We start from the raw sequence: 12,117 nt of genomic DNA on the forward strand, positions 1-12,117 counted from the left end.
CCTTGGCCCAAAGTTCTCACCTCTACCAGGCTCTCCCGCACCTGTGGTCTGAGACATCAGCTGGTGGGTTTGGCTTTGAGAATAAACCTGGGTCACTTGGCGGGCTTTTTTCTGTCTGCTTGCCAGGAAGCCTGCTGAATTCCTCTCCACCTCTGCCCTTGTCCACAGAGAGGGGCGGCCCATGCAGTTCACAGCTAAACTTAGCCTGGCAACGCTGGAGTCACGGGGCAACAGGGGCTGAGGGAAGATGGAAGCTTCTGGGTGGCCCGGACAGAGGGCTGCAGGTGGCTGGCTGGGACCAGTGGTTTATTCAGACCTTTACTGTGAGGCTGGCCGGAAGCCAAGACCCTGGGAGAAATCCAAGGCTTCCTTCCTTCACTGGGGTCCCTCACTCCTGGGTCCCCCAGAGCCTGCAGCACTCCCCACCATAGCTTAATCCAATAAACACCACAAAGCATTGCCTAACACCCATAGCTCTCCCATTTCTCGAGCCCTCACTAGGATGTGCTGGGCACTGCACACACTAACCACTGTAAGTTTCTTTTCTTTTCTTTTTTTTTTTTTTTTTTGACCACTGTAACTTTCTAAGAGGTGGGTGCCATCCCTGTTTTGCAGATGGGTTAACCAAAGTCCAAGAGGCTAAGTCATTTTCTAGCCACAGGACTAGAAAAGCCATAGCTGGGCTGAGATTCAAGCTCATTCTGTCTGTCTTTGCCAGCAAAGCTCAAGTTTTTCCACTGTGCTACATGTACGGAGCACATACTGAGCTCGAGGAACATGATGGATGCTTCAGGGCCTGCAGTGATGAGTATGGCCTGACCCCTGGTAGCAAAAGCATTACAATCCACGCGGGAAGGTAGACAGCCACTACGTATGGAGTCCCCAGACAGAATGAGATGTGGGGCATAAAAGGCACGTGAGCTACAGGCTGCAAAATGCAGAGGAGGGAGGGAGCTTCCTTCCTGTTCTCTGAAGGCCTCTCCCTGTCTGGAGCTCTCCCTGCCCTCACCTGTTGGGGAGATGTCAGTGTGCAACTCCTTGGCTCCACCTTCACCTCCTCCTCTCCTTCCAGACAGAATTACTACAACCAACCAGGAACAGTAGGAGCATGTGTCCGGCCCCACAACCTGTTCATCACACCGCTTTTGCCCCACTGCCCATCTACTCCCACTGAGGGTTGACTGACCACAGCCTTAAGCAGCAGGGGTGCCCAGGACCCATTTCTTGGCCACCTGGTATTCCCTCTGGGACAGTGGTTCTCAACGTGCTTAGCAGCAACAGTGCCACCTGGCAACTTGTTACAAATGCAAATTTTCACAGGCAACCTGAAACCCGCTGATCAGAAATGCCAGGGCTGGGCCCAGTATCTGTGTCTCAACAAGCCCTCTAGGTCATTCTAATGCCCGCTTATGTCTGAGAACCATCCCTTCCCAAACCAGGCGTCCTCTGGGTAGGAGGGTGGGGCTCCTGCAGTGTCACAGCAGCCCACATCCTGGAAATTGCCAAGGGCTTGCCCAGCACACAGCCTGACAGATGCAATTAGCTCTGCTAATTACAACAGCAAAAGAAGGCCTGGCCCTGGCGTCACGTTCAGAGCCAAAAGGAGTAGCTGATAGGTTTCCTTTACGAAATGGAATAAAGGACTGGCTGAGGGCAGGGGAGGGCACTTTTAGCCGAGGCCTTGGGGGTGACTTGGGTCCCTTTCACTAGGTTCTGGGTCCTCCAAGAAAGAAGGAGCCAAGGGAGGCCCAAACTGCCATGAGTTTGGGCTGAACTCCTTCTGTATCCTGGCCTTGTGCTGCAGTTTCTCAGCCCCAGCTGATGAGGTACACAGTTGTTGGGGGGAAATCAAGCCAAATATTTAAGAAAGTCAGAATATAGAGTTGAATTTAGGTTTCTTTATTTTACAGAGGTAGAAACCGAGGCCTCAAGAGAAGACATGCTAGGCCTGGAGGGTGGGTGGAGTAGAAGAGGCAGGCTGGGTATCATCCCGTGGACCCTCCCAGGGAGCACCTGGCAGTGATTCCAGCACAGAACAGGGGAAGGGTGGTGAAAGGTGAAGATGTTTACATGACCAGCCATTTAGGAAGCAGGTACCCCATACTAGGCAGGATGCTAAGTACTCTGCATATGTTTTGTCATTTAATTGTCACAACCTCATTTAGGTAGTTGCATTAAAACTCTCTTACAGATGAAGAAGACTGATGTTCTGGGAAGGTCACTGGGTGGCCTCTAGGATTCCTGAGTCTGCAGTGCATGGCTGAATGTGAGCAGCACCTAGGCTGAGTCTGCCCCTCCCTCTGGTCTCCTTCCAACCCCTCAAGGGACTGATGGAAAACTGAGTGGGTCCTGCCTCTTCCCCTGCCTGGGGGTACCTCTGCAGCATCATTGTCAGTGGTGACCACCAAAATTATCCAGGTTGGCTGTCTCCCGAGCTTCCCAGGCCTTAGAAAAACAGGACTTTGAGAAAGGAGCATGAGTTCTACCCTGAGTCTTGGTTTTAGAGTTTGGAACTCATGGGCGGGCGGTCTGAGCCATCGTGAAACCCTCCTCCCATGGCCCAGCCTACTTGTCTCACCCTCAATTCCATGCTTCTCTCTAGCAGGGCTCACGCCCCATGCTGCAGTGACACCAGCTTCCCATAGCACAAGGCCAGCTCAGGGCCCTTCTCCAGGCACCTGCCCCTGGATCTGGCCTATCTCACCCTTCCTGGAACTCCTGCAGGTCAGGCCACCTTCCTGCTCTTTACTGTGTCACCCACCGGTCCCTGCCTTCCTACCTACAGTTCCAGCATGGTCAAGAAGCTGAATGTTCTCCTGCAGCCCCCAGGGTACCACGCACGGGGCTGGGCACACTGCAGGCTCCCAACATGTAAGTAGGAGTTGACTTATTGCACATTGGGAGGAGGTGGCTGGTGGCAGATAGAGCTGGGGAGTGACATGTCTCCACCAACTCCCTCCTTGTTGCCTAACTCAGGACAGAGGACACAGCACAAATGGCTCAGTAACAATGGCTCTGAATGTGTCACTGCTCAGCCTGATTGGCTCCCATCCTTCCAGGACAGTGGGACAGGAGAAGGGCTTTGCTCCAGCAAGTGCAAGGTCTCAGAGCTGCTCCCACCAGGGCATCTCTGGCTGGGTCCCTCTTCACTTGCACTCCAAATGGGGACAGGAGAGGGAATATAGAGGGGCAGGTGAGCAGACTGGGGCCGGAGGCTGGGCCCTGAAAGGGGAGGGAGGGACAGGCAAAGAAAGGAAGTGAGGAAAGAGGAAGGAAGAGGACCAACAAAAAGATCATTGAGAAAGTAGGTGGAAAGGGTGCGTTTGCGGCTCTGGGCTTGCCGCACTTCCTTTTCTTCTCGGCGTCCTTGCAGCCCTGACCCCGTCCAGTCATCTGCCCCCTCTCCCACTGGGCAGGACCATCATGTTGGCCAACCCACCTCCCCCAGACCTGCCACCCTGTGGCCACTGGGCTCCTTCCCTTCCTCTCTCCAGACACCTGTCTCGAGGACCCGGGTTGTAAAATCAAGTGTCTGGGAGGGCCAGCCCGCAGGGAAAATGAGCGGGGCTGCAGTGGACAGCTGAGAGGAGGGGACACTGGTCGACTGGATGGCACATGCTTCGTCTGAAGGGGCGAGTCCCCACGCCACACATTCTGTGCACCCAGAATGACAAGATCTTTTTTTTCCCAAAGAAAAGCCACTAATCTGGACTTTGTCAAAATCCCCCCATTTTTAAATGTTAGCTGCTATTTCAAAAATTCCTTAAAAACCATGTGAGCAACACTGGGTGCAGTGGCTCACACCTATAATTCCCAGCACTTTGGAAGGCTGAGGCAGATGGATCGCCTGAGCTCAGGAGTTCGAGACCAGCCTTGGCAACATGGCGAAGCCCCGTCTCTACCAAAAATATAAAAAAACTAGCTGGGCGTGGTGGCACATGCCTGTGGTCCCAGCTACTCAGGAGGCTTAGGTGTGAGGATTGCTTGAGCCCGGGAGGCGGAGGTCACAGTGAGCTGAAATGGCGCCACTGCACTCCAACTTGGGTGATACAGTGAGACCTCGTCTTGAAAAGAAAAGAAAATGAAATAAAATATGTTAGTGGCCACCCAGAGCCTGTGGGCTCTGGTCTGCAACCCCCCATGAAGCGTTCCTCAAGGTAACCCCTAACCCAGGACTCTCCTTACTCCTACCCCATCAGCAACTACTCAGCAAACCCACTATTTCCTCTGAGTCCATGACTCCCTGAAATACTGGCTCCACCTTTCTCCCCAAACCTAGGCCTGATTACTCCCGTGTCTCCTCGTTGGCCCCAGCAGCCACATTCGGAATAATCCTAACCAGCACTTATGAGGGCTGACTCTGTGCCAGCCCTTGTAGGAACTTAGTGTAAATGCCAGAGCAGATTTTCTTCCTTCCCCATGGCCTCTGCAAGGACTAGAAGAAAAGAGAGAAGAGGCTTTGTTGGGTTGGCATCCTGGTGACTTTTTTTAAGTCCCTCCCTCTTCCTAGAATGGGCCTTGAGGACACTTAATGCTTCGAGTGGGTGGAACCGGGCACCCCGAGTCCAGCCAGCGTGTGCACACGCGGACAGCAGAGGCTCGCCTAAGCAAAAAGGCCTAATGGTGCTGCGCTAAGAAGCGCTTGGTATTAGAGTAAGGCCTGTGGGCCCCAGGAGCCCCAACTGTCCCTCCCTAACCCAGGGGAGAGCCCAGACTGACTGAGTGGGATGCTGGGCTCAGAAGCACCCAGGGGTCAGTCTGGACTCTGGTGAGGTGGGGCAGCAGGACAGACAGCAGAGAGGGGAGAGCTCCACCCCAGTGCCCACCTGAGGTGGCCCTACCACCGAGCCGGTGGGGAAGTACACGCGGGGCAGAAGCTGCCTTTTTTTGCTCCAGCGAGCCTCTGTTGTCTGCATGTGGACACTCTGGCCGGACTCACAGGAGGTGCTGCTCACACCCGTCCAAAGCATTAAGTGCTCTCAAGGCCCACTCTCGGGAGAGGGAGCGGTTTCAAGAAGTCACCAGAATGCCAACTCTGTTCTCAGGACTGGGTCATGGGGGTGGTCTGCCAGCCAGCAGAGGCACAGGAAGGACAGAGGGCTGGACTCTGCTGGCTCTGGGTGGGTGAGCCACATCCTTCCTGTTCCCGCTCCTCCGCCGGCTGATGCACGTCCCTCGGCGAGCAGATGGAGAAGGCAGGGAAGCCATCCTCTCCCAGGAAGGACAGAGTGTCCCTCCGTCCAGCCACTCTGCCTGCCTCCTCCAGCAGGACATCATAGAAATCACAGCATCTTGGGACAGACAGACAAACGCCTGATCTCTATGGCTGGGTTGTGGAGAGGACAGTGAGAAGAGACTACAAGGAGTAAAACAGTAGCAGAGACAAGGAGGGGGCTCCCCTGCAACCCCTGAGCTCTGGCCCACACCTCCTTTTCTCCCACGCGTTCCCTCCAGGGCATCTCAGATCCATTCAACTGTGTGGGTTGAATGGCAGCCCTCAAAATATACGTCCTCGCGCTAATCCCCAGCCCCTATGAATGGGACCTAAAAGGGTCTTTGCAGATGTGATTAAATTAAAGAACTTGAGATGAGATCATCCTGGATTACCCGGGTGGGCCTTAAATCCAATGACAAGTATCCTTATGAAGTGACACAAAAGAGAGAGACAGAGGAGAGGTGAGGGGAGACGGAGGCCAGGATGGGAGTGACGCTGCCACAGCTGAGCATCATCTGAGACAACAGGAGCTGGAAGAGGCAAAGAGGGACTCTCCTCTAGAGTATCTGGAGGGAGTGTGGCCCTGATACCTTGATCCTGGTCTCCAGAACTGTGAAAATAAATGCCCACTGTCTTAAGCCCTCCTGGTGTGTGGCAACTTGTTATGGCCACCCCAGGAGACTACTGCAGTCTCAAAGCGCAATGCACCCTCCTCTCTCCCAGCCAGCTCCCCTCGCTGACCTTCCTCTTGTTGGGGTATCTCCAGTCTCCCCAGCCACCTCTGACCTGGCCTTTGCTCTGCACCGAAGCCTGGGGATTCCACGTGAGATGGAATCTCTCTCGTGTGCTGGCCAGCGTAGGCCTTTGGGGTCAGCTCATCTGAGCTCTCCCTAACACTCCAAACCCCCAGTTAGCTCCCCAACCCTGCACGTCTCCCCTCCCCATTTCAAGGGAGTCTTGTTTCCATGGGACACAAGTCAGCGCTTTAAGAATGTTCAAGGCCTGGCCCAACCAGCCTCAGAGGACCTCTTGGTTCCCTCTCTGCCTGGCCCGGCCACTTCAGATCATCTCCTGTCCCCCAGATAGCTCCTGCACCTCCCCACCATTCCTGGAAACATCCATGCTTCACCCCTCTGCTGGCCAAAACCCTACCCAACTGACCTCACAGCAAGCCCATCTCAGACTCCACCTCCAAGGAGCCTTCCAGGATCCCAAGACAAATCCCTCTTTCTTCCAAGGGATAGGAGAACAGGGGAGGGAGAGGGACATATGAATTAGGCCCCACTGAGTGCACCAGGTACCTCATGTAGGTCAGGTGGCTCTGTAGATGCACCGGCACACAGCAGGCACCCAACTGAGGCTGGTCCCATGTGTCTCTATCCTTGAATTATTGCATTTAACCCACGCAGCAACCCCGGGGGAGGGGGCCATCAGCCTCATGTCCCTGGCAGGAGCCCAAGGTGCTGAGAGGTGGGGCAATGTGCTCAAGGTCACACAACAGCCTGGCTCCAGGCCCCGTGTCGCCCTGGTGTGCCCGACAGCTGCCTCTGTCTTTGTCTTGCCCCATCACCTTCCTCACTGTGAGCTCCTCCAGGGCAAGGGCAGGGTCCTGTTTGTCTTTGCATTCCCCAGAGCAACTGGCATAGACCTGCGCTCCGTGCTAAGGACACACACTATCCTGGGGGCCCACAGCTCACACCATGCACTGGAGGCACCACTTTCACAAGACAGTTCCCCACAAATGCCCACCACTTGCAGGAAGGATGCCTCTCCCACAGCCAGCCTGCAGGGGAAGGTCTCCCTCAGCCTCCAGGATTCCCATCTCCGGTTTCTATGCGTGAATCACAGTGACAGCAATGCGCCCTCACCACTTCCCGTTGTCCTACATTGGCTTGGTCTGGGCTCGTATTCCTCCGAATTTCCCCTAGCCCTGTGGCCGCATCTCACCCACAAGGGTGCTGGTTTGGAGAGAGCATGAATACCCACCTTGGGGCAGGACATGCCAGAGTTCCCAAGAGTCGTCCCCTTTCTCTCTCTCCACCCCATGATCTACACACCCCCTGCCTCCAAGCAGAGCCACAAACGTTCAGGCAAAACCACACTTTCTCAGTGGGACAGGGAGGGGAGGCTGCACGCTTAGACGCAGGCTCTGCACAATAGCAGACACACTGACTCAATGGAAAGGGGAAGGGACTGGAACAGAACCGGGAGTAAACACAAAGGAAAACAAGGAGGGAACAAAGCCCTCCCTTGGCCACTCCCCGCCCCCTTCCACTTTCCCCCTTTCACTGAGAAACTAGGATGGATGGAATTAAATAAAGGGCCAGCACCCAGCAGCCACCTTCTGTTTGACCCCTGGATGGGAACAAAGAGAGCCCAGCTTAGAAAGACACTCTGCCTCTAGGAGATGGGGGAGGATGAACCCCCCAAGGCCTTGTCCACGACCTCGGAAAGGCTTGTTCCCCACCTCAGCCTCCCCACCCCACTGGTCTCTTACCCACGTCCTGGCTTCCTGAGATTCTAGGCCCCACACAGTGAAAGAAATCCCAGACTGTTCTTCTACCCGAGTCCCCCTGCGGCTTAGGCGGTACCTGACACAAAGCCTGGGCCCCAGCTGGGCTGGGGAGAGCGGGGAGGGGAGAGGAAGAGAAGCGCTGTGGGCCTCCTGCACGCATGCACACACACACACACACACACACATACACACATGCACGCACACACACACTCTCCCTGCAAAGATCTAAAAACCCCTTTCATCTCAATAAAGGGGAACAGTAACAGACACAAAGACAAAGGGGAGGCCAGCCCAGCTGTAAAAAAAATTAAGAGCGTCTTTGCTTGTGCTCTGCTGCAAGGATCTGGGCTGAACAATAGAGCCGGGCCTCTGCCAGCCCTCCCACACCAGTTAGTCAGAGCAAACCAGTCCTCCTCCTCTCTGGAGAGCAGAGGGCCCACATGGTAAGGCTAGGAACAGTTAGCAAAATTGCTCCCAGAAGTACCTATGACTACTCAGAGTCACACTCTCTACGGATTGCACAAAACAACCCTACTATGACATCATTTTCTAGTCACAGGGACGGAGCAATAAGGTGTGATGCGGGTGCTCCACCGAGGCTGTGCTGGCACCCAGTAGGTGTCCAAATAATGCCTGCTGAATGCATGGACCCATGACTCATATGTGCGTCAGTCAGACTGAGGTGGGCAGCAAGCAGCCACTGATAGTGTCAAGTTCACACAGGCTCATTTCCACTCCTACTGTCACCGAGAAAGAAACAGCCCAAAGCTCATCAGCTAAGAAGAGCTTAACAGTTTGCAGAGGCTTAGAGAACCATTGCTAAGGAGTCAAACTCTGGAATCAGAAGGCCTGGGTTTGAATCTTGGCTCTACAACTTGCTATGGCAATAGTGTCCAATTTATGGCCTTGTGGACCATCTCACAGTCACTCGGCAGTGCTTGGTAAATGATACTGCTGTTGGCACTGGTACTGGTGCTGCGGTCATGTCTCCTTTTTGATTTGTTAAATCGTCATGGTTGCATGTTAAGGAGTCCTCTGGGAAGAAGTGGGTGAACAACATCCCTGCAGCTCCTCCAGAAGCCTGGGGAGTATGACTAAGTTGTCTCCTCCACCTCCTTGTCTTCTTCTAAAGGCCCCAGGGGCTGACACAGAGGAAGAGGAGGAAGTTTGGAGACCTAGGAAGGTCAGCAGCACCCTCCCTTACTCCCTCCAATCTGGCATCATTGACACTGACAGCTCTTCCATTAGGTTCTGAGTACCCAGCTTTGGAAGAGGGTAGTTGCTATAATGAATGCTTGCTGAATACATGAATGGAGTTAGGATTGGGAAAAGAACCTCACTGCCTTTACTCCCAGGAGCAGGAATTTGAAATTCCTGGAGTGAAGTGGAAAGCTCTGGATAAAGTAACTTCTACATTCTTTCTTCCTGGGAGGGGCACTGCAGTCAGAAAAACAAAGTGCTAACAGTGTAAGTGCCTTGGAAAATCCCTTCCAGCAAAATCCCTTCCAGACGTAGCCCTGGAGACAGAGACGGTTGCAGCCCCGTTTGGTCTGGACTGGCCTTCATGTAACTGCAGGCAGACTCACTGCCAACGTTTAGAAAATGGCCCAGGAATGAACCCTGACACGTTTTCTGACCCTCAGCTGCCTTGCCGTGGACACCTCCCTTCTTGCTCAAGCTTCTTGTAGAAATAAACAGAGGATTACAGAGTAAGAGAAGGAGCAGAGAAGTAATTCTTCTTTCAGGAAAAAACTGGACAAGCCTCAGGGCCCTGACACACCATGGGAGGGTTTAATGAATTACAACCACTGCATCCCATTTATTGAGGCTTAAGCATTGCACAATAAAGCTTTACATGTATCATTCTCACATCAAACCTCTGAGGCAGGCACTTATCTCCATTTTACAGATAAGGCAACTGAGGCACAGAGGTGAGGCCACTCACCAACATCATAGAGCCAGGATCTGAATCCAAACCTATCTGACTTTCAAGCCTATACTCTTCCCATGAAGCCACGAGCTGTGCTGCTCAGTGACCTGGTATCTGTGAAACATTAGACATGTACCTATGGACTTTCCTCACCCGGACTGTTTAGGGAAGGGTAGGTGACAATCTAGATGAAATGTGGGCATGAAGCAGGGAGTAAAACCTAATGAACTTATGAGACTCCTTCTACCAAGATTCTGTGAGTGTGGCCTGGGCTATTTGAGATAAAAGGAATGGAAAGCCTTCTCTGCAAAAAAGGGAGTGAGGGCTCTCTTGACACTGGCAGGTAGGCATGTGTTGGGGTGAAATGTCAGGAAGCGGCATGGGTACATTAGGGACATTTTGGGGCAGCACACAGGGGTAGGACCCAGGCAGCCCCTGCTCTCCTACCCTCCAGCCCAGGCATGCTGCACCCCTGCCTCCTTGGGAACTTTGGAACAAAGTCTCAGCAAACAAAGGACGCGTTCGTAAACTTCAGGCGGGTCCCCCGGCTGCTGCTAAGAGGCTATTGAAGCCGGCTCCCATGAGAACAGTATGTTATGAGCACATGGTTTTGCACTAGCGGGCAGGGCCAAAATAATGACAACACCTTCCCTGCTGCTTTGATACAGGAGGAGGGGGCGAGAGTTGGGGGGACTCCTGCATCAGCTTCAGGGAAATGACCTAGAAGGGAGAGAAAGCAGTAGCAGCCCAGGGTTGCTTCCAAGCTGAGCCCCTCTTCCCAGGCAGTGAGTGTCCCACTGTGTTATGCACCTGGAAGTGAGTCATTTGATAATTGCGGGGCTTTGTATTTTTCCTAGGGACTTCCAGCAGAGGACTGCAAAGTGCTCTGAATATTATCAGGAACTGGTTGTTACTGTGCCTATTAAACAGAAAAGCAAACAGTGCTGGAAGGGAAAGCCTTTCCTTCCTTTCACCCTCAGATAGCTCAGGCCACACTCACAGAATCTCTTGGCAGAAGGAGTCTCCAAAGCTCACTAGGTCTGCTAATATCAGAGTGAGACAGCAGGAAGGGACCAGAAGTCTCAGGCCTGGAGTTGGTGGTCTGCTTGCTGTTTTCTCAGTATTGACACTTAAAACTTTGTGGGATTCTTTATGCCATCTGTATGTGTTCTGGGCTACAGTGTCCAGACAGACGCCTGAGGTGGCAGAAAGAGTCCAAGGCCCTGGGAGAGAGCAAATCTAAATTCGAATCTCTTCTCTGTTGTTGTCCGTTTGGGGCAAGTCCCTCTGAGTCTGTTCTTTCACCTGTAAAACTAGGATAACACCCACCTTGAAGGGCCATTGTGAGGAGGAGAAATAAATATGTGTAAACCCCTAGAATGGGGCTTTGCTCAGTAAATGAAGCCACTATTTTTTTTTAATAAGGCCATTCTACTTATATGAACAATGTCATATCCATAACGGTGGATTCTGCAGATTAATGATACTCTAATTTTTATTTATAAACCTGAAAAAGCTAGGTGCATACAAGAATTAGGGCAATGACTTTAGCCACCGAAATGCTGGACATCAGAAAAGCACCTGAAGTTATGCCTAGTTGCACAAAACAAAAACTTTAATCAGGTGCCTTCAAGTGGAAGGACAAGGCGATTCCTGAAACCTCTACAGAGACACCTACTATATCATCTAGTTTTTCATCTTTCTTCAGGGCAGGGAGTCCTCCCTTTCCTGCCTCTTTCGTCTCCTGTGCTGACATTTGGCAGCCCTTGCTTAGGAGAAGCAGCAGGCATCACCTGATAAGATGTGGCGGAAACACAGGTCACCAAGTTAAGAGCATCAGAACTGCTGAGTGACCTCAGCCTTGTAAACAGTGCCATCCCAGGGACAAGATGGACATCCATGGCTGCCCCCTCTGACTCCACTCCCAAATTAGCAAGTGTATCTCAAGCACACCCAACTGAAAGCATTCCATGAATTTAGTTTAACCCATCTAGAATTCCACAGGGAATGCTAAGTTGAGTGAGGTGAACTGTGAGACGGGATTCCTATCTCCAGTTGGTCCTGCCTCTTGGGGCAGTGGATTCCATACACTCTTCCTCTCCATGTGCATTTCATCATAACGCTCCACGAGGCCGCTGAATCCCTGGCACAGGCCATGCATAACAGATACACAATGGCTGCTCGATCAATGAAGCCCCCGTAATAAGGATGTGAGCATCCTATTTCTCACTCTCTTTTGTGGGGAGGCTGAAGAATGGAAAGTCACTTTTCTGATGGCCCCATCACTGCTCCAGCCTGCCCTTCCCCTAACCCTCCTTACAGATCCAGGCTGCAGGAGGACCCCTAAGGAGTCCCGTTCAGAGAACTGAAGGAGACTGCAGCTGTCAGCACTGCGCTCTCTGACCCAAGGCCTAAAGACCCACCACCAACTGACACAGCCCAGATCTGAGACTGCAG

General features: G+C 52.9%; 1 protein-coding gene and 1 long non-coding RNA gene across 5 annotated transcripts in view, besides 8 other annotated features; one reads left to right on the forward strand and one right to left on the reverse strand.

The window, feature by feature from the left end:
- ITPRIP (inositol 1,4,5-trisphosphate receptor interacting protein) overlaps nt 1–12,117 on the reverse strand; it is a 28,766-nt gene that overhangs the window by 11,453 nt on the left and 5,196 nt on the right. The window contains exon 1 of one of the 4 annotated variants that reach the window (NM_001272012.2): nt 7,713–7,840. The exons of 2 other annotated variants lie outside the window; for them this stretch is intronic. Coding sequence is in view for 1 of the 2 variants with exons in the window: in XM_005270257.3 (XP_005270314.1) it covers nt 7,102–7,103 (2 nt within the window). In the remaining variant the exon portion in view is untranslated. Of the gene's footprint in view, nt 1–7,101; nt 7,106–7,712; nt 7,841–12,117 lie in introns of those variants that run through there. One more of the 4 variants, XM_005270257.3, reaches the window with a different exon arrangement.
- ITPRIP-AS1 (ITPRIP antisense RNA 1) lies at nt 2,212–5,593 on the forward strand. The gene is made up of 3 exons (NR_120622.1): nt 2,212–2,418; nt 2,786–2,871; nt 5,187–5,593. It is a non-coding gene; the product is annotated as an ITPRIP antisense RNA 1 (long non-coding RNA).
- Nucleotides 2,568–3,298: an enhancer, noted in NCBI's record as "H3K27ac-H3K4me1 hESC enhancer chr10:106083478-106084208 (GRCh37/hg19 assembly coordinates)". NCBI's record gives its function as "activates a minimal SCP1, AML or CMV promoter by ChIP-STARR-seq in naive H9 embryonic stem cells {active_cell/tissue: H9 hESC(naive)}" and the evidence as "EXISTENCE:reporter gene assay evidence [ECO:0000049][PMID:30033119]".
- Nucleotides 3,299–4,027: an enhancer, noted in NCBI's record as "H3K27ac-H3K4me1 hESC enhancer chr10:106084209-106084937 (GRCh37/hg19 assembly coordinates)". NCBI's record gives its function as "activates a minimal SCP1, AML or CMV promoter by ChIP-STARR-seq in naive H9 embryonic stem cells {active_cell/tissue: H9 hESC(naive)}" and the evidence as "EXISTENCE:reporter gene assay evidence [ECO:0000049][PMID:30033119]".
- Nucleotides 5,817–6,462: an enhancer, noted in NCBI's record as "H3K27ac-H3K4me1 hESC enhancer chr10:106086727-106087372 (GRCh37/hg19 assembly coordinates)". NCBI's record gives its function as "activates a minimal SCP1, AML or CMV promoter by ChIP-STARR-seq in naive H9 embryonic stem cells {active_cell/tissue: H9 hESC(naive)}" and the evidence as "EXISTENCE:reporter gene assay evidence [ECO:0000049][PMID:30033119]".
- Nucleotides 6,463–7,108: an enhancer, noted in NCBI's record as "H3K27ac-H3K4me1 hESC enhancer chr10:106087373-106088018 (GRCh37/hg19 assembly coordinates)". NCBI's record gives its function as "activates a minimal SCP1, AML or CMV promoter by ChIP-STARR-seq in primed H9 embryonic stem cells {active_cell/tissue: H9 hESC(primed)}" and the evidence as "EXISTENCE:reporter gene assay evidence [ECO:0000049][PMID:30033119]".
- Nucleotides 8,225–8,274: a silencer, noted in NCBI's record as "silent region_2798". NCBI's record gives its function as "represses an Ori minimal core promoter by ATAC-STARR-seq in GM12878 lymphoblastoid cells {active_cell/tissue: GM12878}" and the evidence as "EXISTENCE:reporter gene assay evidence [ECO:0000049][PMID:35858748]".
- Nucleotides 9,047–9,692: an enhancer, noted in NCBI's record as "H3K27ac-H3K4me1 hESC enhancer chr10:106089957-106090602 (GRCh37/hg19 assembly coordinates)". NCBI's record gives its function as "activates a minimal SCP1, AML or CMV promoter by ChIP-STARR-seq in primed H9 embryonic stem cells {active_cell/tissue: H9 hESC(primed)}" and the evidence as "EXISTENCE:reporter gene assay evidence [ECO:0000049][PMID:30033119]".
- Nucleotides 9,693–10,338: an enhancer, noted in NCBI's record as "H3K27ac-H3K4me1 hESC enhancer chr10:106090603-106091248 (GRCh37/hg19 assembly coordinates)". NCBI's record gives its function as "activates a minimal SCP1, AML or CMV promoter by ChIP-STARR-seq in primed H9 embryonic stem cells {active_cell/tissue: H9 hESC(primed)}" and the evidence as "EXISTENCE:reporter gene assay evidence [ECO:0000049][PMID:30033119]".
- Nucleotides 10,299–10,593: a silencer, noted in NCBI's record as "tiled region #8343; K562 Repressive non-DNase unmatched - State 5:Enh". NCBI's record gives its function as "represses a minimal TATA promoter and a strong SV40 promoter by Sharpr-MPRA in K562 cells {active_cell/tissue: K562}" and the evidence as "EXISTENCE:reporter gene assay evidence [ECO:0000049][PMID:27701403]".

The sequence above is a fragment of the Homo sapiens genome, chromosome 10 (genome assembly GCF_000001405.40).
Source record: "Homo sapiens chromosome 10, GRCh38.p14 Primary Assembly".
NCBI lineage: Eukaryota > Metazoa > Chordata > Mammalia > Primates > Hominidae > Homo > Homo sapiens.